The sequence below is a fragment of the Homo sapiens genome, chromosome 10 (genome assembly GCF_000001405.40).
Source record: "Homo sapiens chromosome 10, GRCh38.p14 Primary Assembly".
Lineage (NCBI taxonomy): Eukaryota > Metazoa > Chordata > Mammalia > Primates > Hominidae > Homo > Homo sapiens.
This window is the reverse complement of record NC_000010.11, coordinates 19,248,719-19,271,601: the sequence shown is the minus strand read 5'-3', so window position 1 is coordinate 19,271,601 and position 22,883 is coordinate 19,248,719. Positions and strand designations below refer to the sequence as shown.

Here is a 22,883-nt window from a genome sequence, read left to right as displayed (position 1 = left end):
TTGGTAGAGACGGGGTTTCACCGTGTTAGCCAGGATGGTCTCGATCTCTGACCTCGTGATCTGCCCGCCTCGGCCTCCCAAAGTGCTGGGATTACAGGCATGAGCCACCGTACCCGGCCTAACATTTTAAAATTCTAATAATAGTGACAGAATATAGTAAACATCAGGGAGGTCCTTTTTAAATAAAATGGTATTTGGGTTTTTAACTTTAGATGAATGGAAGCTTTCTCTGTATCAGCAACAGAGATTATAACGATTAGAGATTTTAACCAATGCCATGTGGTATTTTCCTCAAGATAGTACTTTAATTCATTAGTGTTAATGTGTATATTGTAATTCAGTAATTCTGAATGCTGTCTAGTATTTTATTATATGAAAATATATTGTAGTTAGCCATTCTACCGTTAATGATTTTGGGGTTGATTCTTCTAAGGTATTGTTTTCTCATTTTGTACATTTCTCCTTATGTATCTAGAAACGGAATTGCTTGGTTACGGGGTATGTACAATTTCAACTTTAGGAGATAATGCCAAACCAGTTTTCAAAGTAATTCTATACTTCCCAGCAGTATATAAACATTCAACATGCATTATGTACTTGCCATTCATTCGTATATTTAGGTTTATCCATGTGTTTCCCATTTTTCATCACATCCCTGGTTGAGCTCATTTTGTGTCTTTCTGAGATTCACATTTACATAGTTCATTTGTCTGAACTGCAGAATCTGGTGCAGTGAAATAATATTATTTTGTGTGTGCGTGTGTGTGTGTGTGTGTGTGTGTGTGTGTGTGTGTTATCCTTTGAATGCCATCTTAACCCTCTTTCCTGAAAAAGTTTTGCTTTGCTTTAGGCTAACAATTAATAGTTTTTAGAACTCTGAAAATTATATCTGTCCTCTGACTTCTGTTCTTGCTGTTAAGCAGTCAGTCATCAGCCTAATTGTGCTTCTTTTGCAATTCAGTCACTTCTGGCTCTCCTCTCCCCTTTCTCTCCATCTTGTCCATCCCATATGCTCTTACTTCCTAACTCTGGCATTTGCTTTGTCTTTCTGTTCTATTTCTCAATACTCTCTCTTTTTTTCTCTCACCTGGAGATTTCCCCTTTTTAAGCTCAGCTTGACATTTAAATCAATGCACGCTATGTTATAGTTAACATTTCTAGGAATAAATAGTGTCACAGTTTTTAGGTCATCTGGTCTTCCATACTACTAAAATCAGCAGTCTGGTGTGTGTGTGTGTGTGTGTGTGTGTGTGTGTGTGTGTGTGAGAGAGAGAGAGAGAGAGAAGAGAGAGAGACAGTCTCACTGTGGCCCAGGCTGGAGTGCAGTGGCGCGATCTCAAATCACTGCAACTTCTGCCTCCCAGTTCAAGCGATTCTTGTGCCTCAGCGTCCTGAGTAGCTGGGATTACAGGCACCTACCACCATGCCCATCTAAGTTTTTGTATTTTCAGTAGAGACCGGGTTTCACCGTGTTGGCCAGGCTGGTCTCAAACTCCTGACCTCAGGTGATCCACTCGCCTCGGCCTCCCAAAGTCCTGGGATTACAGGCATGAGCCACCACACTCAGCAAAACCAGCAGTCTGAACTGCATCTTTAGTTCTGATTTCAACTTAACTAGAGAATAATCATTAGAGAGAAATCATGGACATGAGTTGGATGACTTGAAAGAGAGACCGATGAGTTCATACTGAGGAAAAGTAGAGACAATTCATTTTTATCTTAAAAAGGTTTCAGAGAATAAGTAAAAGGACAACTACTCTAAGCAAAAACATTTTAAGAGTTCATAATTCTTAGTCCTATTCTCATTACTTCCTTATTACTCCACCAGAATGAGGAAATTTTACAAACCAAGTAAGTCCAATGTCTTGCATTGAAGAGAAGAGCACTAAAAGAGCTAAATGAGAAAAGCGTTTCTTCTTCTGGAGCTGAACTTTGCAATTGGTGGTGGTTGTAACTGGGAAGATGGAGTTGCAGCTGATTTCACAGACTCTGTGATGTGGAAGTAAAATAGAATCCAGAAACATGGTCAGGCCGGTTCTTCATGTGTGACTGAGGCATGACAAGGACTGCAGGATTCCTGACGGACTCTCTGGTCCTCACACATTGTTTAGACTTTCCTCTAAGGGACATGAGGTCAACTCATTTAACTTTGCAAATACTTAGAAGAGTATTTTCTAAAGTATCACACTCTTAACTCAGGTGATGCTAGAAATGACTATGCAGTATATAGAAAGAGAGAGCAAGAGAGCGAGAGAGCGCGTGAGAGCTCCTGTCTCATCCTCTTTTTGTAAGAGCACTAATCCCATTATAAGAACCTCATCCTCATGACCTAATCTACTCCAAATTACCTCTCAAAGGCCCCACTTCCAAATACCATCTCAATGGGGATTAAGGTTTCAAGATATGAATTGTGGAGTGGGGAAAATATTCAACTTATTACAAAGCTTATAGGGTTTTGTTGGCCTATAATTGCTTAGAATAAGGCTAAAGTTGGTAGCAATGATAGATTTAAGTCTCTTTAAACAAAGAACACTAAAATCTTTGCCGATGAAACAAAAATTGAAAAGATGAAATGCATATGACTGAAGTTTGCACTCACTAAGAAGCAGAGATTAGTCTGGTTTGATCTGATCTTCTTCCACATCTCTGAGCCACAGGGGAACCAAACTACCTGTACATCTGTCATGTGGAAGATTTCATAAGTAGATGTCTCAGGCTCCAAATGGACTCAGTGATCTAACTCCTCACTCTGTAAGTTCACTGTAACACATATGACAAACTTCAGGCTACATTAATATATTCTCTCTGGTAAAATAGATTTTCCAACTTGTTTTATACTAGACTTCCCTCCCTACAGCCATTCCCACATTGATAATTAAGCAAATAAAACCAACATTTTAACATCTCTAGTCCTTGATAAATTATTACCAACTTTAGACATATGATTACTGAATGAATTTCTTGACTAATATGAATCATTGTACTTTATATCTACCTGTAGCTAACAACGTATACGTTTTCCCTGTGACTTTTTGAGTTAAGAAATATATTTAATATAAAAATCTAAAAGCGTATTTGAAGCTTAAACAGTCTCTTTAGAATATTTAAAATGTTTAAATATCTATAGCTTTGGGGGAATATCATCCATTTCTTCTATTTCACTTACTACAATAACTTGGAGTTATACTCACAAGCTGAAAGAACTATGTTTAGTATGATTTTATTGAAGTGTCTGTGTTAGATATACTTTCTAGGTGAAAAGGTTTTATGAAAGCATAGCTATTCTTTGGATACTATTATTATAACAACTGTGTTATAGCTGTTTGCCACAAACTATGCAGTGCTTTTTTTTTTCTGTCTCTGGTAGCCAATCAGCAATTTTTGAAATACTTTTGCTTTATAACAAAGATTCAATGACATTTTCCATCTTTACAGGCATTCTACTATATTTGAATGTGACTACAAATGACTGAAGTAGCAGATGGAAAATTTCCAAGCTGTGAACTAACCATTTAGACAACCTTCTCCATGTTTAACATTTAGCATTTCTCTCAATTAAGAGAGAATGTGAAACAATGTAAAAGTTTTAACTTTAAAATAAGTGAATAATTTGTTCAATTTTATTTTCTAAGAACACAATAAAACTGTTAATTGAACATATCGCAGACTTTGGTCAAATTTTTCTTCCCTATATATATGCTAAATCAATTTACAGACTACACCAAAGAAGCTAAAACCAGAATATTTAAGATTGCAATCACCAAGGCTCAAATTTCTTTATTTTTCCCCTGAAATCTTACTTTAAACTGCAAAACTTTCCAATAATCTGGTATTTTCTTCTGAGTCTACACCTCCTTTAGAAAAATACAAAAGAAAGGCATATTTCAAAACACAGTGCTTTCATGTAATTTATTATTCTGAGACAAGTATAATGAATACGCCAAACAGCGTATTAGAAGATGAAAAGCTGCAGGTGATATCTTAAAAGTAAAGCCAATAGTATTGACACTGTTCCCCTTGCTTTTTGATTCACACTGAAATAAACATTCATCTCTGCAGAATAAAGGAAGACTTAAACACCATTTGTAAATAAAGCTGGTGAGACACTGAGGCTAACGAGAAGGGATGCCAAAAATGTAATCAACCCAGTTCAACAACAACAAAACAACACATTTAATGTGTGAGGGGTGGGGGAGGACATCATAAAAATTATGTTAAGCATCCTTAAAATAGTCATCATATTTTATCAATTTGAAGGCATCATCAGTTGTACAATGTGCCACTGCTTTAGTAACAGTTATCCTGGGGAAAATAAAATATTACTAATAATGTAAACATGGATATTCATATAATACTTAAATTGTAATAACTAATAATTTTAGTAACAATTCTAATGTGCATGCTGATATCTGAAAATTTAAAAGAGAATAAAGAGCACATAAATTATTTTTCAATTTGCAGACAGTATTTTGTGATGTAGTCAGTGTTTTATTTTTCTAAATAAACTAGCTATCTCACTATTAATCCTTGGTGCAAGAAAGAAAATTCCTGTCATATATGTTCAGCTGAAGAAAATATAATTCTGGCCTTTCTAATGAAGGACAGAAAGAATAATGAAAAGCAAATACTTCCTTTGAGATACACACTTTTTAATATAAATGTCTCAGAGCAATTCCTAATCTAATCTGAAGATCTGATTCAAGATATAAGGAATCATCATTCCTATATCTAATGATAACTTTGTCATCATTCCTCACCGCGGTCTCCTCAGGTAATAGACAACATCATTTTACAGCTATGCAAAGAACTGTAGAAATGTATTACATGGCTAAGTTCCTACTAGAAATGTAATTAATTTTGCCTAATGGATTAGATTAAAAATAAGAATTTATTTACATATTGCATATCCATTAACAAATTACTGATGCTATAGTTATTTTTAATAACATTTATCTTTTAGTATTTAGAGTTATAAGTGATTTACATATTATCATTACAGTACTAGTGTGTATTCTGTATCCTGAATTTAGAATTATTTTTAAATATTATAAATATAAAAAGATGTAAATTGTGAAATTAAAAACATAAATGTTGGGGTGGGAAGACGTGTAGGATTTTTGTATGGAATTAAAATTAAGTTTTTATCAGCTTAAAATGAATCGTTGTAACTATAAGCTGGTTTTTATAAGCCTTATGTTAAACACATAGCAAAAACCTATAGTAAATACACAAAAGGTAAAGAGAAAGCAATCAAAGCATACCACTACAGAAAAATCATCAAATCACAATGGAAGATAGCAAGAGAGAAAGAAACAAAAGATCTACGAAACAGCTAGGAAGGAATTTTTTAAATGGCAATAGTAAGTCCTTACCTATTAATAATTACTTTAAATGTAAGTGAATTACATTCTACAACAAAAAGACATAGAATGTCTTAACAGATAAAAAAAAAACAATATCCAATAATGTGCTGCATACAAGAGTCTCACTTCCACTTTGAGGACACAGATATACTAAAACTGAAAGAACAAAAAACACATTCCATGCAAATGCAAACCAGAAAAGAGCACAGGAAGCTATACTTACATAAGACAAAATATACTTTAAGCAAAAAATGGTAAAAAGAGACAAAAAGTCATTATATAAATATATAGCAATTAATCAAGAGAATATAATAATTATAAATATATATGTACTCAATATGAGAGAACCCAAATGTATAGCAAATATTAATAAATCTGAGGGGAGAAAGAGACAGCAAAACAATAATAGTAAAGGACTTCAATATCCCACTTCCAACAATGGATAGATCATATAGACAGAAAATCAATTAAGAAACATTGAACTTAAATGAAACTTTAGAGGAAATTGACCTAACAGTCATATACAAAACATTTCATTCAACAGCAGCAGAATACACCTTCTCAAGAGCACACAGAACATTCCCCAGGATAGATAATATGTTAGTCCACAAAACAAGCATTAACAAATTAGGAAGTTTGAAGTCATATCCAGCATCTTTTCTAACCACAATGGTATGAAACTGGAAATCATTGAGAGGGGAAAAGTTGGAAAATTCACAAACATGGCAATTAAAACAACATACTCCTTAAAAACCAGTAGGTCAAAGAACAAATCAAAATGAAATAAAAAATCTGAGATAAATGAAAATGGAAACACAACATACCAAAACTTACGGGATACAGCAATAGCAGTTCTAAGAGGAAAGTTTATAGTACCGAATACCTAAAAAATAAAAAAAATTCAGAAATAAAAAAAACTCAAATAAGCAATCTATCTTTATACCTCAAGGAACTTGAAAAAGAACAAACTAAGCTCCAAATTAATAGAAAGAAGGAACTAATAAAGATTAGAGCAAAAATAATTACAATGAAGAAAAAAATAAAAAGATCAATGAAACTCAAAATTAATTTTTTGAAAAGATAAAATTAACAACCATTTAGATAAGAAAAACAGAAGACCCAAATAAATAAAATCAGAAACAGACATTACAACTGATGCCACAGAAATACAAAGGATCATATGAGACTGCTATGAACAATTATACTCCAAGAAATTGAACAGCATTAAAGAAATAGATAAATTCCTACAAACATACAACCTACCAAGATGGAATCAACGAGAAATAAAAAAATCTAAACAGATGAATTATGAGTAATGAGATTGAATAATTAACCAAAATCTCCCACCAAAGAAAAGTCCAGGGCCTTATGGATTCACTGCTAAATTCCACCAAACATTTAAAGAATTCATACCAATCCTTATCAAACTCCTCCAAAAACTGAAGAGGAAGAAACACTTTCAAACTCATTTTTTAAGATCAGCCTGGGCTGGGCGTGGTGGCTCACGCCTGTAATCCCAGCACTTTGAGAGGCCGAGGCAGGCGGATAACGAGGCCAGGAGATCGAGACCATCCTGGCTAACACAGTGAAACCCCGGATCTACGAAAAGTACAAAAAATTAGCTGGGCATGGTGGTGGGCGCCTGTACTCCCAGCTACTTGGGAGGGTGAGGCTGGAGAATGGCGTGAACCTGGGAGGCGGAGCTTGCAGTGAGCAGGGATCATGCCACTGCACTCTAGCCTGGGCGACAGAGCAAGACTCCGTCTCAAAAAAAAAAAAAAAGAAAAAGAAAAAAGGAAAAAAAAATTCAGCCTGATTCCAAGCCAGAAAAGGAGACTACAAGGAAAGAAAATTACAGGCCAATATGACTGATGAATATAGATGCAAATCCTCAACAAAATACTAGCAAGCTGATTTCAATAACAGTGTAAAAGGATCATATATTATGACCAAGTGGAATTTATCCCTGGGACATAAAGGTGGTTCAACATATGAAAATTAATAAATGTGATACATAACATTAACAGAATGAAGGCTTAAAATCTTATGATCACGTCAAAAAATGTAGAAAAGGCATTTGACAATATTTAACATCCTTTCATGATAAAAACTCCAAACAAATTAGGAATAGAAGAAATGCTCCCTAATACAGTAACAGTCTTAAAACTTTTAACAAGTATTGGGAGGATGTGGGTAAAAGCGAACCCCTGTACAAGCCCAAAGTTAACATCACACTCAATGGTAAAAAGTTAAAAGCTTTTCCTCTAAGATCCTCAAATCTTTGTCTCTAAGACAAAAATTCATAGAGAACTACAAAAGATTCCAAATAGCTAAAGCAATTTTGAACAAGAAGAAAAAAACTGATGGCATCATACTTCCCAATTTCAAATTATATTACAATGCTGTAGTAATCACAACATCATGGTACTTGCATAAAAGCAGAAACATGGACCAATGGAGCATAATAGAAAGCACAGAAATAAGCCCACACATATAAAGTCAAGTAATCAATAAAAAAAGTGACAAGAATATACAATGGGAAAAAATAATCTCTTCAATAAGTGGTATTAAAGAAATGGATATCTACATGCAAAGCAAAATGAAATTGGGCTCTTATCTTACATCATGTACAAAAATCACAACAAGAGAAAGTATTTCCAAACCATATAACCAATAAGGAGTTAATATCAAACTACGTAAGAAACTTATACAACTCAACAGCAAAAACAAACAAAACAAAAAAAAACAACAAATAATCCAATTTTAAGAGGGGCAAAATACCTGAATAGACATTTTTTTCCAAAGAAGACATAGACAACAGGTATATGAAAAGGCACTCATTATCAGTAATGATCAGGAAAATGCAAATCAAAACTACAATGAGATATTAACTCTCATCTGTTAGGATGTCTATTATCAAAAGTTAAAAGATAGCTAGTGTTGGTGAAGATGTGGAGAAAGGGGAACACTTATACCCGTTGGTAGGAATGTAAATTGATACAGCCATTATGAAAAACAGTATGGAGGTTGCTCAAAAAATTTAAAATGTAACTATCCACATGATCCAGCAATCCCAGTTCTGGGTGTATATCCAGGGGCAATAAAATCACTATTTCAAAGAGACATCTGGACTCCAATGAACTCCCATGTTCATTGCAGCATGATTCACAATAGCCACAATAGGGAAACAACTTACATGTATGGAGATAGATGAATGGATAAAGAAAATCTAATATATATGTACATTGGAACATTATGCAGCTTTAAAAAAATCAAGAAATCCTGTCTTTATGAAATTAGAATAATGCCATGTCCATTACACTAAGTGAAATAAGACAGACACAGAAAGCAAATACTGCATGATTGCACATGTAAGAGGAATCTAAAAGTTGAACTCACAGAACAGAGTACAGAGGTAGTTAGCAGAGGTCGAGGGATGAAAGAAATGGAGATATGTTGGTAAGATGGTACAAATTTTCAGTTATCCGAAGAATAAGTTCTGTTGACTATAGTCAGCAGCAAGATATTGTACAGTTGAATATTGCTGAGAGTAGATCTTAAGTGCTTTTTTTTTTTTTTTTTTGAGACAGACTCTTGCTCTGTCGCGCAGGCTGGAGTGCAGTAGCATGATCTTGGCTCACTGCAACTTCCACCTCCCAGTTTCAAGCAATTCTCCTGCCTCAGCCTCCTAAGTAGCTGGGATTACAAGTGTGTGCCACCATGCCCAGCTAACTTTTGTATTTTTAGTATAGACCACGTTTCACCATGTTGACCAGGCTGGTGTTGAACTCCTGACCTTAGGTGATCTGCCCACCTCAGCTTCCCAAAGTGCTAGGATTACATGCATGAGCCACCGGGCCCGGCCAAGTTCTCTTACCACACACACACACAGAGGAGGGGTAACTACACGAGGTTAGAGATGTGTCAATTACTAATAGTTTGATTGTGCTAACTATTTCATAATATATAGACATGTCAAAACATCATATTGTACACCTTGACTATATACCATTTTGCCAATTATATCTTAATAAAGTAGGAAAAATAAATTAACAATATTATAAAAGTATTGAAACAAATCAGGTATAATTCATAATTGAGAATGATTTGAAAATTAAATTAGAAAAAAGCCATAGCTCAGAATATGAGAGAGACGACTTGGAAGAGCAAATGATGACATTTTAAGACAAAGTAAAAATAAACTAATTTAAGGGCATAAAAACTATTGGGGAATATTAATAACATTTTTGGTCTAATATTTGTTTTTCATTCAAGTCAACACTGACTTGAATTAGAGTAATGGAAAAAACAGCAGGTCCGAGAAATATCTTGCAGTTGTAGTCAGTGGAATTTACAACCGAAGAAGTTTAAGAAGAAAGTCAAAGACGACTGTGGAAATTCAAGCCCAGGTTGCTGGAGAACACTGCTTTCATTAAAATTACAAGGCAGGCACGAGGGGAAAAGGTTGATTTTGAAGTACCAAAGAAAAGTAAAATAATCTACTGCTCAGTCATTTTCTATAAAATAAAAGTTGTAGGTAAGATAGAAACCCACATCTTGGGGATTAGGTCAACATTTTGGTTTGTGTGTATGTGACTTTGAGTTTTTATTTATTTTGCTTTGTTTTATTGGCCAAAGAAGAAAAATGCTATAAACAAATAATCAGTTAATATTAAAAGGAAATCAATGCCCCTTAGTGAAGTTACAAGCATGATTCTTACTTCAGATAACATGATGCTATGAAAAAAAAAATGACTGGAAAGCATCAAGAGTAACATTTTTTTTTTTTTTTACGTAGAGCTCAATTTTTATTTTTGTTTCATTTTATGGTAAGATTCCTTTATCAAATTCCTTTATAAAACCTATGGATTCAACAAGCCTTGTGGTTTTGACCCATAGTTTATTTTGTTATGCCATTGCAAAAAAACACAGCTCCTACAGTTTTTCAAGTTTTTTTTATTTTTCTTCCAAAACTCGAAACAGAAAATTGGGACCAACACTCAGTAACTGACATTTCGCATCTCTGCCTATGCTTCTAGTAGCTGTTTTACCTCCCCTTGGAACTGTGAGCCATGGAATGGATTTAGCCAGATAATTAGGGCAACAATAGTTTCAATGGTGACTTGTGTTTCTTTTCTGTGTTCTTTTTTTGTTCTCTTCTGACTCTGAGGTCACAGTGATTCTCTCTAATCTCAGATTTGGGGGCAATGTGGGGAAAGCCCTGGCCACTGAAATCAGACCAGCTTAGGTAAAATCACAGTCCGATCCTTAATTTTGTATTCTCATCCACACTACTTATATCTTTAATTTTTCATATCTGTAAACTGGAGATTGTAGCCTCTTCCTTTCAGGTTTAGTGTGTTTGATGAGCCCTATAACACTAGTGGTGAACATTATGGTTCCAAGAAGAAGTGACTGTGTTCTGCCACTTTACAGCTAGGTACCCTTGAGCAGGTTATCTCCTTTTCAATTTCCTCCATAAAACTGGTATAATAAAGGCATTAATCCTGCCCCACATACAACATCTATTCACCTATGATGGACCAGGCACTCTTCTAGACTCTTAAAACATTGTAAGATTAAGTAAAATAAAATACGTAAGAATGGCCGGTTATAATATTGTCCCTACACATCACCTCTCTTTCTTGTAAAGATTTTCTATCTCCCCTACCCCTGCTGAGCTCCCTGTAGGTGGAAAATACTTCTCTGCCCCATTGTTAGGATCTGATCAATGGCTAATGAACATGAACAGACACAGTAAGATGTATACCATGTCCCAGTTGAAATTTCAAATATGCTTTTTTTTCCATCCTCTATGAAATGTGTCAAATAGGGACTTGGTCTTTTAGCCATGGTCTCAGAGAGATAGGACCACGTGAAACAGAGACACATAGCTTAGAGCTACATGAAATTACACAGAGCTATGATTAAGATCTATCTGTCTGTCTATCTATCTGTCTGTCTGTCTATGTCTTTGCTCTTATTCTCTATGCCAACCTACACGCTTGAGAGCAAGAAATAAATGTAGTCATAAGCTACTGAGACTTGGCTTTCAACAAAAGCTGACTGACATATACTATAGTATCTGGCACATAGAATTACTTAATATTTTAGCAATAATACTAAAACTAAACTAAAATATATAACGAGAGTATATAAAACACCTAAAATTATTGACATTCCTCTACCTACTTATCCATCCAACAACTATTTGTTGAGTACTAGTATGTGTCAAATACTGTTGTAGGAATTGGAGATTAAACAGTGAAGAGGTGATATACCTGCTCTCATGCAACTAACATCATTATGGGGGAAAATAGAAATTTAACCATAAGGGTGATAGGTGATGTGGAGAAAAATAACACCAGGAATAGAAATAGAAAATGCCAGATAAGAAAGAAACTGTGTTGTGTTGTGTTCAGAGGAGGCTTCCCTGAAGAAGAAACTCTGGCAGAGACCAGAAGGAAGTAAGGGAGAGAGTCAGATAGACATCTGTGGGAAACCTGTTCCAGGAACAGGGGAAAGCAGATGGAAAAGCCCTAACCATATGACATGGTTTGGCTGTGTCCCTACCCAAATCTCATCTTGAATTATGGCTCCTATAATTCCCAAATGTCATGGAAGGGACCCATTGAGAGGTAATTGAATCACGGGGGCGGGTCTTTCCTACACTGTTCTTGTGAAAGTGAATAAGTCTTACAAGATTTGATAGTTTTATAAAGGGGAGTTACCCTGTACACACTCTCTTTGCCTATAACTTGTAAGACTTGACTTTGCTCCTCCTTCACCTTCTGCCATGATTGTGAGGCCCTCACAGCCATGTAGAACTGTGAGTCAGTTAAATCACCTTTCTTTATAAATTACCCAGGCTCGGGTATGTCTTTATTAGCAGTGTGAGAATGGACTAATACACCATAAATTGGCTGAAGTGCTCAAGTATTAGCTAAGAGGCCTTTGTAGTAGGGAAAAGTGAATGAGATATACACTGGTGAAAGGTGAATTCAAGAGGTATAAGGGGTTAGTCATTTATTCCTTGGAAGCTATCATTAGTTTGAGGTTTGCTCTGAATGAGATAGAAAGTCATAGGAAGATTCTGACAATAGAATGACCTAACCTTATCTAAGTTTGAAAAGAAACATGTGGGCTGCTGTTTTCAGAATATAGCTCTCAAGGGTAGGAGCAGATAGATCATTTAAAAAGCAATTGCAATAATCCATGCATAGACACTGGTTGCTTGGACCATGGGGAAAGTGGTGAGGGCAATGAGGGTGGGTACTAAATCAAATTTGTTAATATAAACCAGATTTGTTAATATGGAATAAGCAGCTAGATAGAAACTGTCATTTGCTGAGATAGGGAGGTATACAGGAGTGGCAGGATTGAGAGGCAACTGGTAATCAGGAATTCACTTTTAGGCATTGAGAGGTAAGGGTAAATTTGTTCAATTCTGCCTCTTGTTTTACTAGCCTTCGAGAGAGGGATTCAGCTGTCTCCAGAGTTCTATGAAAACCATGACACACAGTGGTAACACCAATCGATCCTGTTAGGATGCTGAGTGGTGGGTAGGATCAGAGCTGTGTCACATAGCTACAACTGAAAAGACTGGAATCAGCCCCATCACCTGACTCTGCATGGGATGGAGCTGGTGCTCCGCAGACCAGTGAGGCTAAGATGATAGAGCAGGGATGAATGTTACGTTTTCGGCAATTGAGAATGTTGTTGGGCCCCAGCCTCTGATCACTCCAGGGAGGAGATCATGTTCCCTCTTGTCGTGCACTTTAAGAGCTCTCAGTCTGAGTGCCAAACTCCAGTCTTCTTAGATCACTATGCACTTCTCAGAATGGGTTTCTCCTCATAACACTATTCAAGGCCTGGGTTGTGTTTATTTTAGGTTATTTTCTATCATTATCTTTAAGATGCCTTCTAGACATCCAGGTTAAGCTGTTGAGTAGGTAGTGAGTATATGAGTCTGGAGTTAGGGGAAAGTTTGAAAATTGATATATATCTGGAAAATATGTCATTTATGTCATTTTAATAGACATAAAACCATAAAACAGTGAGGAAATGGTTGACAACAATTGTTAGAAATATTTAAAGTGCCTCCCGAGAGTAATCCGAGAGGTTAATAAAGTATCCAATGCGATGTAATTATAAGGCAAATGGTTTGGTTATTGTAACTCCTTAAATATAATGGAATTACATTTTAACTTCAGACATGATTTTCTAGTATTTTGCATGTGATAAGTCATAGACATAAGTGATTCAAACATCTTGACTATGTTTGACACTTGAAAACTAATTACTAGCAAGGATCTAAAAAAATCTTTTCCAGAGTTAATAGTTTTGAGAAAAAGAATAAAAGCAAGGTCATATTGGAAATTTTGTAGAAATGAAATATTGATTTCCTTGCAAGTTTTCCAAGTAAACAGATTTAGAAATAACCCCAAATTGAAATGTTCTCTCTTACCAGGGTAGAGGGTGCAGTCCATAAATGACAGATCATCAATCGCAATATCTCCAGTGAAGCCATCTCCCACTGAAGCCTCCACCAATATCTAAAAAAATAAAATAAAAAATAAAAATAAGAAATGTGTTTATGTGGTAAAGGAAATTAAGTTATGGAATGGATGAAGAGGAATTTAAAATGTACCCAAATATAACCTTCTGTGCCATTAAAAAACTGCTTTGCAGTAGTCTCCAGAAGTGGTCATCTTGCCTTGAATACTTCTAGTAACAGAAACCTCCATACTACATTGAGCCTATTAGACCCATGGAACTCATTGCATTTCTTATGAGTTTCCATTTTTGAAATTTCAGTATATTAGATTGATATCCACTGCCCTATAACTTTCAGCCATTAGTTCTAGATTTGTGTTGTTCCCTTCTGGTCCTTTAAGTATTTGAAGGCAAATAATTGTTCCCTCATCCTCCTGGGTCATCTGTTTCCCAAATTAAACCTCCTCATCCTCCTAGATTTTCTACCAGAGTTACTTGCTAGGATATACAGTTTTAAGGGCTTTAAAATGTTTCTCACATGACACTGATTCTGTAACACTTTATGAAATTGGCTAATCGTGATTAGATCTCCTTCAGGGCCACATTAATCACAGTGAACTCAGATGACATTTGTGCTGCTGCAGGAGCGGCAGTTCCACCAGAACTTAGTAAAATATGAAATACCACATATAGACGAACCACTGTAGTATATGGTAGATTGTGATTAGGGTTGAGATTTACTGTAACAGAATTGATCATGATGAATTATTTTAATACTTATGCAAATGTCTTGCATGCTTACTAGGAATCCCAGCATAATTTAATAATAAAGAACTTCTAGCAAACTCAAACTTAGAAAAATACATTATGTTTTCCCATTATTATATGAACATATGTTTTCATTTCATTTTCCTCACAAATGTTATATGTGGGAGTTGAAGTTTTACTTTTCAAGCTCTAGCCTTCATTGAAAATTACCACAAACATTATTTGTTGACATTCTCCTTATGAAAGAAAGTTTTAAAAGGTCAAATTGCTGACCTCAAACCTCTTAACACTTTTCTCCAACTTTCTACCCTTTCTTGAGGTCTACCAGGATTTTCTCCCTGATTTGTCACTGAGAAAATTAATTAATTTGGGAAATGTTTCTGCATAGAACTAGTGGGCAAATATAGTCCCCCTGACATTGTTTGAACAACATTTAATGGTGTTATACAGGAAGTGTCCCGCTGTTTTACAATGAGTCTCTCCAAACATAAAAATGCATCCTTTTTCCCACCACCATCATGAGTGAAAGGCATTATAGGCAGAGAAAACAAAAATGTATAAAGAATGTTTAGTCCAAACTCATACAATTATTTTCAATAAACCTAAACTAGCAGACAGAATTTGAAAGAACATACTACAGAAAAACGTATTCTGTTTTATTTTTAAAAATAGAGTTGGGTGAACAGTTGGGGAAAAGGCACAAATATGAATTAATCACCAGTTAATGTCCTGTACCCATACATGTAAATCCCACTGCAATAAAACACAGAACATGCTAACAAATTGCTTAGAAGAAACTAGGGTAAATAAAAATAAATACTATTGACTTGGCCTCACTCCTCATGATTATCATTATCTTATTAATGAGAAGGAATAGAAAATTGATAGTAACATCCCACTTCATAGAGAGTGAAGCTGTTGTACATATAAGTAGCTGGAAACCAGCTTTAGGGATATATACACATTCATAGCTCCATTCTGGTGTTTGGAGTCAATTGTTCCAAGACTTTTTATTGTCTTTATATAGTCACAAATTAAAGAATTGGCTATTTATGAAAATTTAAGACAAAATTCTGTAACCCAGAGAGGGCCATAACAGGTTAGAGAATGTGATTTGCTCAAGGCATTTTTCCTTTGGAGTTTCCTTCATGTTGCATGAGAAGTATTTTAATATTGTTTCTATCTGCATTCAAGGCCAACGGAAAGACAGAAACAATCCAAGACAGAAGACAGTTGGGTTTGCTCTAATACATAATTTAATCATAATTTTTACCAAAATATCTTCAATTTGCTAACCTCTAAATGTTAGCATTCTTGAGAATTAATGAACAATAATTACAATTTGAGAAACTAAAATTGTCCATTTGTATGATAGTCTCAATCTCTTTTGAATATTTAAGAAAAGCATTTTTAAAAGACTTTTTGATAATAATCACACTTCAGCAACAAAGTTATGACTGTTAAGGTTTAACCCTACTTTAACCCTATATTTTAGTCTTGCAAAAAAGCTTGGTAAATTATTCTAAAATAGTAGTCCTGAGAAAATGACCACAAAAAGAATAAACCCAAATGCCTCTATTATGAAAATGTCACTTTCATTTATGGTGTTTTTCCCCGAGAACGAATAGAAGATTATCAAAACACAAGCATTATACATTGTATATAAGACAGTATTGATTCCGGAAATTAGGGAAGTCGAATTTTACTCCTAAGTCCCATTGCTACCTTACGGAGTGCCTCAAAGGGCAACTGAAAATCCAGTTTAGTTTAAATGACCTGCCTTATCTGTACAGGTCAATTCTACTTATATTAGAACTATCATCGTCTTGGAAATGTTATGAAGTAAACCAGCTCATCCAAGCTGTTCTTTGCATGGGCTGCCACCTGCTCCACGTAAAGACAGACTGGCCTTGGTAACCACGTTGGAACTTTGAGGCTTAAACATTAATGGGGCTCTAGCAACTTTCCTGAACTCATCCTTCTATGTATTTAGGAAACTGAATGACTGACCAAAATTTTAAATGATATAAAAACGATTGTCCTCACATACAAACACATGTTTTAGCCTCAGTTAACTCATAAGAGAAATGGAATTAATTCAACCTGCTGCTTACTTTCACTTTAGCCATCATGTATTTGTAAAATATTACACAATTCCAATATAACATATCAGTTTTTAATATAATGTATCCTCAGATACATTATATTAAAAATTGGTATGTTTTATAACTATAATGTATTTTCAGATATATTATAAATTTATAAACTTTAAATAAGAATTTCTGTCTCAAATATAATGTATTTTATATGAAGATACATTATATCTGAGGCAGAAATTTTAGTTTAAAATTTATAAAAAGCACATATTCTATGTGGAGCAACTGGGACTCCAATGCATTCCTGATGAGAATCCTAAATGGCACAGCCATATTAATACAACTAATTTGGCAGGTTCTTATAAAATTAAACATACACTTTTATATGACATGGCAATGCACATGTAGGTATTTGTTTATTCAAGACAAATGAAGATGTGTCTAAACAAGAATCCATTAACAAGGTTTATACAGGCTTTGTTAATAATCTCCAAAAGCTCAAATCAACCCAAATATCTCCCAACTGGTAAGCAGATAAGCAAATTGCAGTATATTCATACAATAGAATACCACTCAGCAACAAAAAGGAACAATGATGTAGGCAACAACAGCTGTGAACCTCAAAAGCATTAAAGTGAAAGAAGCCAGACTCAAAAGCCTGTATCATTTATCAGCTCCTTTTATGCCATTTTAGAAAAGTCAGAATTTTTGGTGTATTAGAATACTCTCATGCTGCTATAAAGAACTGCCTAAGACTGGGTAATTTGCAAAGAAAAGAGGCTTAATTGACTCACAGTTCCGTAGGGCTGGGGAGGCCTCAAGAAACTTACAATTGTGGCAGAAGGAGAAGATAACATGTCCTTCTTCACATGGTGACAGGAGAGAGAATGAGACACGAGCAAAGGGTGAAACCCCTTATAAAACCATCAGATTTTGTGAGAACAGTATGGGGGAAACCACCCCCATATATCCACCTGGTCCCACCCTTGACCCATGGTGAGTATTACAATTCAAGGTGAGATGTGGGTGAGGACACAGAGCCAAACCATATCAATTGGGAAAGAAATCAGATTTGTGTTGACAGGAGCTGGGGGTGTAAAAGGAGGAGATTGACTATATCAGGAAATGGAAGATTTGGGGGAATGGTGGGGATATACTCTATTTTGGTTGTAGTGGTTGCTTACACAACTGTATACAGTTGGCTCTTAAACAACATGAGTTTGAACTGCCTTGGTCCACTTATGTGTGGCTTATTTTAAATAAAACACAATAAAAAATACTTGTGGCTGTGAAAGATGTGTATACAGAGGGCCAACACTTTGTTTCCAGTGCAGGACTTGAGTATGTGCTGATTTAGTTACATGGGGGCAGTCCTGGAGCTGATCCTCTGAATCCCAAAAGACAACTGTACATTTGTTGAAATTCATAGAACTGCTCACCTAAACAGGATAAAATCGACATATAAATTATACCTCAATAAACAAATACAAAGCATTTATTCTATACTTATTGCCATAAGTCATCAATGTGTCTATTACTTTCATGTCTTTTTCTCAATTGCTAATTTAATGTGTGGCATTTTATAACCAGCATATAGTAATCTCAAGAATCTCAATCTATTCTTCAATTCAGCTATGAACAATTTTCTGTTGCTATCCACTTATAATTTCCTAGAGGACAAATACTTACGCTCTCTCTTATACTTCTTAATGACACCCACTTATTTTTCATTGGATTTTCCAATAATCAAAAATGCACAAACAGAATGAAAGGCATTACATGAAGCTCTCTTTTAGCCCATTTTAACACCTAAGGTGTTAAGTAAATTCTTATAAACGCATTCAGACAACGATCTAATATTTAACCACATAACCTACAATTCTTGGGAGCTTTTAGAAAATCAGCTTAGAATTCCAAACTTTTTAGGCCAATACTGAGGGAACTATTTGCTGGATACAATATAAAAGGGTTTTTAAATCATCTTTGCAATTGTTTACACAACCCTGAAACCAATCTCTATGAAATAAAACTCAGATTTGGCCTGACAAATTTTATGATTCTAACTCTGTGGCTGACTCTATCACATACACAAAGCTGCAGAATAATTGGAGTTTTTCAATTACTATAGTAGACATATGAAAACCATTTATCATGAAACAAGGGTCATAAGTGCCATATTAAAACTGTGTGAGAAACTGGGCAAAGGAATGGATAATAATAACATTGTGGTAATAGTAGAGACAAAATAAAATGCTGGGATATATAAGTAGTCAAGAACTATAAGATGATTACTGACAAAAAAATATGATGTCTACCAAATCTGTTTTCTTATTTTGGGAAACAAAATCATAACAAAATTTATGTTGATCTTTTGGCATTATATTGTATTTCTTCTTAGCTAATGTCTGGCTTATAGCTTGCTGAGAACTTTTGATTAAAAAAAGAAAAATGAGTGTCTACTTAGGCATTGCGCCAAGTGATTCCACAGTTAACAGGAAGAAATAAATTCATCCCCATCCTTGACTATCTCACCATTTACGATAGAGAAGACTAAATGGTGGCCCTTGGGCTGGACCCAGTCCATAACAGTTTCGTTTAACTCCATGAGTGCTCTTGAGTCAGATTGGTTGCCAATATTTCAAAAGTAGGATATCTCACAAGAAGACATTGCTCCTCAGCTGCCGCAGACACTAGTCCTCCCTATTATGCACCCACACCAAGGTTGTCAGCTGCCATTCATTATTTTAAACTTCACCTACTTTATTAGTTCGTTTTCACATTGCTGTAAAGAACTATGTGAGACTGGGTAATCTATAAAGAAAAGAGGTTTCATTGACTCACAGTTCCACAGCCTGTACAGTAAGCATGGCTTGGGAGGCCTCAGGAAACTTACAATCATGGCAGAAGGCAAAGGGAAGCCAGCATTTCCTACATGGCTGGAGTAGGAGGAAGAGAATGAAGGGGAAAGGGGGAAAGTGCAACACACTTTTAAACAACCAGATCTCATGAGAACTCCCTCATCATCATGAAAACAGCAAGGGGAAATTCGCCCCTATGATCCAATCACTTTCACCAGTCCTGCCCCCAACACTGGGGATTACAAATCAACAAGAGATTTAAGTGGGGGACATAGAGTCAAACCATATCACCTACTTCTTTCAATTCATGTCCCATGTCTGGTTCCCATAGTTATTTGGGTTTGCCATTCCTTGCACAGTTCAAATCAGAAAGCATGAAGGGCCTGATATTTTACCCTACTTGGAAGCTAATGAGTAAATTTGCCACTATTTCATATATATACACTGATATAAAACACTAGATCCCTGATACAGAAAGACAGGAAAAAGCAACAGCCAGAGAAGTACCTTCCATTTCCACAGGGCAATATGAGGAGGCAGGGATGTTTACCTGCATGTCAGACAGTCACACCATAGGAGAGGAATACAAAATGAGGAGACTCTAGCTGGAATAGGCTGCTGGCATGTCTGCCCATTCTCCCCTCCAGAGAAAGAGAGGTGGCAAGAAGAGCTTATTTTTACTCTGGAATGTAAGCAAATGTCTCAAGGTAAAGACCATTTAAATACGCCCTTTGCTCAAAGGCTGAACTGTGCCTAACAGAAGAAATCCATGGAGAATTATCTCCAAACAGGGCACTTGGATGGTGCTACATGGTTGAAATATTTCATTTGTGGAAGCATTACGATCCCTTAATTCTTTTCTAATGTATCTGCACACTGGAATGGTTAAATCAACTCAGCCTCCCCTCCCTTTATAAAATGTCTCATTTCATACTCTTCTGAAGGAAGGAGTCTCATTTGTTAGAGTCCTCCAGATTCAACTACCCACCTGCCGCTTGCCCACAAAGCCTTTTCCCATCAAGGCCTCTGCTGTGTTGAGGGCAGAGAGTAAATAATAATAATAATATTAAAAGAGAAATCAAAAAAGATGTAAGAAATTGGGCCATTCAAAACCTCAGACATGTTTTTTTACTTACAGAGAATTCTTTCTGCTAATCTTGTTGAGTGAAAGAGAATACACACATTGAGAGAGAGAGAGAGGCAGAGAGACGGAGGATGTGGGGAGCTGATCTTTACTTTGGAATCTAAACAAATGTCTTACACATATCATCACACACATCATCTCTAAGTACTCAACTCATATGAGATTAACTTGCTTTTTGCGGTTTTTAAAGGATTCACAAACCACAAAGTTCATTTCAGTTCCATTTTCCTCTGTATGTTTTTAGATGCACAAAAAAAGGGCCAAAATTGGGGCACATTTGTGTTTTTGCCTCTGATATATAACAATACCTTCCTGAAACCTGCCTAAGTAAATTTTAAAAAGAATCAGTGTTGATCATCTTGAAATTAGTTTGCTACTTGAAACTCTGCACACTCACATGCTATTTTAAAATACCCTCTGAGAACCCATATACCCTGTAACCCACTTCGCATCTCATATATTATGTGAATGAGGAGAAATTATTCCCAGTTTTTCCAAATCCTAAAAATTATATGGAACCTATTTTACTAAAGGTTACAATGAATGATTTAATTGAAAAAAGTCTGGTTGATATTTTAGAAAAAAGTGAAGAAGGTTCAGAGCTATTGATTAAAATTTTCAGTAAATTGTGTTTTTATTATTTAAAAATGAGATAATAAGGTATAATAAGATTTTAACAGAACACAATGCACTACTGTCCGATCAATAGGCTCACACATGCCAAAATTAAATTCTTATTTAGGAAGCATAGTTTTAAAATTCTTAAATGTCATTTTTTTTCCCATCAGACTAATTTTATCTTCCATACCATTAAAGGTAATATTTAAGGAAAGGAGTTGAACTCTAATTTATTATTTTAATATACAAGTCTTTCTACAAAAAATCATCATATGCCTTTCATTCTCTTTGTAAAAGGAGACACCAAATCCCAAATTTCCCCCATTTTTATGTTTCTATGTAGCAACTTAACACTGATGTAGACCTAAAGCAGAAATAAAAAAAAATGATCGATTTAAACTCGACTTAAACCTTAACTAACCCATATTTGTCTTTTGTTCTAGCTCAATGTCCCACATACCCACCCATTAGTTATTGTGAATTAGAAATTGTATCTGAAGTTCCAGGTTAGATGTTACTTTCTCAGAGAAGCCTTCCTTGACCACTCAAGCTAAGGCTATTTTCTTTTTATTTTTACAAACTTCTTATTGTTTAGAATCATATAAGTATTTGTGCATTTAATGTTCGTCTTCTCTATGAGACTTTAAGGACAACCTCCAGGAGGGACACTGAAGGACACAAGCGCTGCAAACACAGCATCCAGCACAGTAACTAGCACATTATAAGCTCTTAATGTATTTTAAGAAAAAATGAAACTTCCCCTTTCAACTAAAACTGTTGGTGTTACACTTGGTGCCATGCTATATCCCATCTGTTTTACATGACATATAATTATCAAAAAAAAAACATGTGCCAAAGATACTGATTACGCTAATATTTCACACTACTATCTAAACTGCTGACAAATCCTGCATCCTTTTACTTTGAAACCGTGTCTTTCTCTTCCTTACATGGCCTAGTTCCTGGATTCCAATTCGATTTCTACCTACATTTATACAGTTTTGCCATGACTGTCCTCCTTTTTCCATTCCCCAACTTATGCCTGCATTTCCAAGTCCTTTCCTTCAATCTTCGGTTATTTATCAAGCATCACTTTCTATCTGGAGTAATATCAATTTCATTTGTTAGATGAATTAAAAGAAATATATAAACACACATACACACATATATGTGTATGTGCATATATATATGTGCACAGAGACATATACACACATATGTGTATGTTTTAATTTATATTATATATCATATAAATATATTTAATATAAATATATAACATATATTTATATTACAAAATATATAATATATAATTTATATTATAAATATATAATATAAATTAAAACATATACACATATGATATACACGTATATCATATATGTTATATATCTGTATAATAGCTATTAGTTGTGGCCAGTCTTACAACATATTTTTTAAAATCTATCATTTTAATACTAAATGGGTCCATAGAGAACATTTAGAATCTAAAATTCTTAGTTTAGATTTGAATAAATGAGACCCACACAATTTAAATAACTCATCCATA

General features: G+C 35.0%; 1 protein-coding gene across 11 annotated transcripts in view; it reads right to left on the bottom strand.

Annotated features, from left to right (window-relative positions):
* The window catches only part of MALRD1 (MAM and LDL receptor class A domain containing 1), a 687,552-nt gene that overhangs the window by 462,877 nt on the left and 201,792 nt on the right, over window positions 1-22,883 (bottom strand). For 10 of the 11 annotated variants that reach the window (XM_011519453.3, XM_011519455.3, XM_011519454.2 and 7 more), the window contains one exon: window positions 13,831-13,918. In XM_011519453.3, coding sequence (XP_011517755.1) covers window positions 13,831-13,918 — 88 coding nt within the window. Of the gene's footprint in view, window positions 1-6,187; window positions 6,216-13,830; window positions 13,919-22,883 lie in introns of those variants that run through there. The other variant, XM_017016186.1, reaches the window with a different exon arrangement.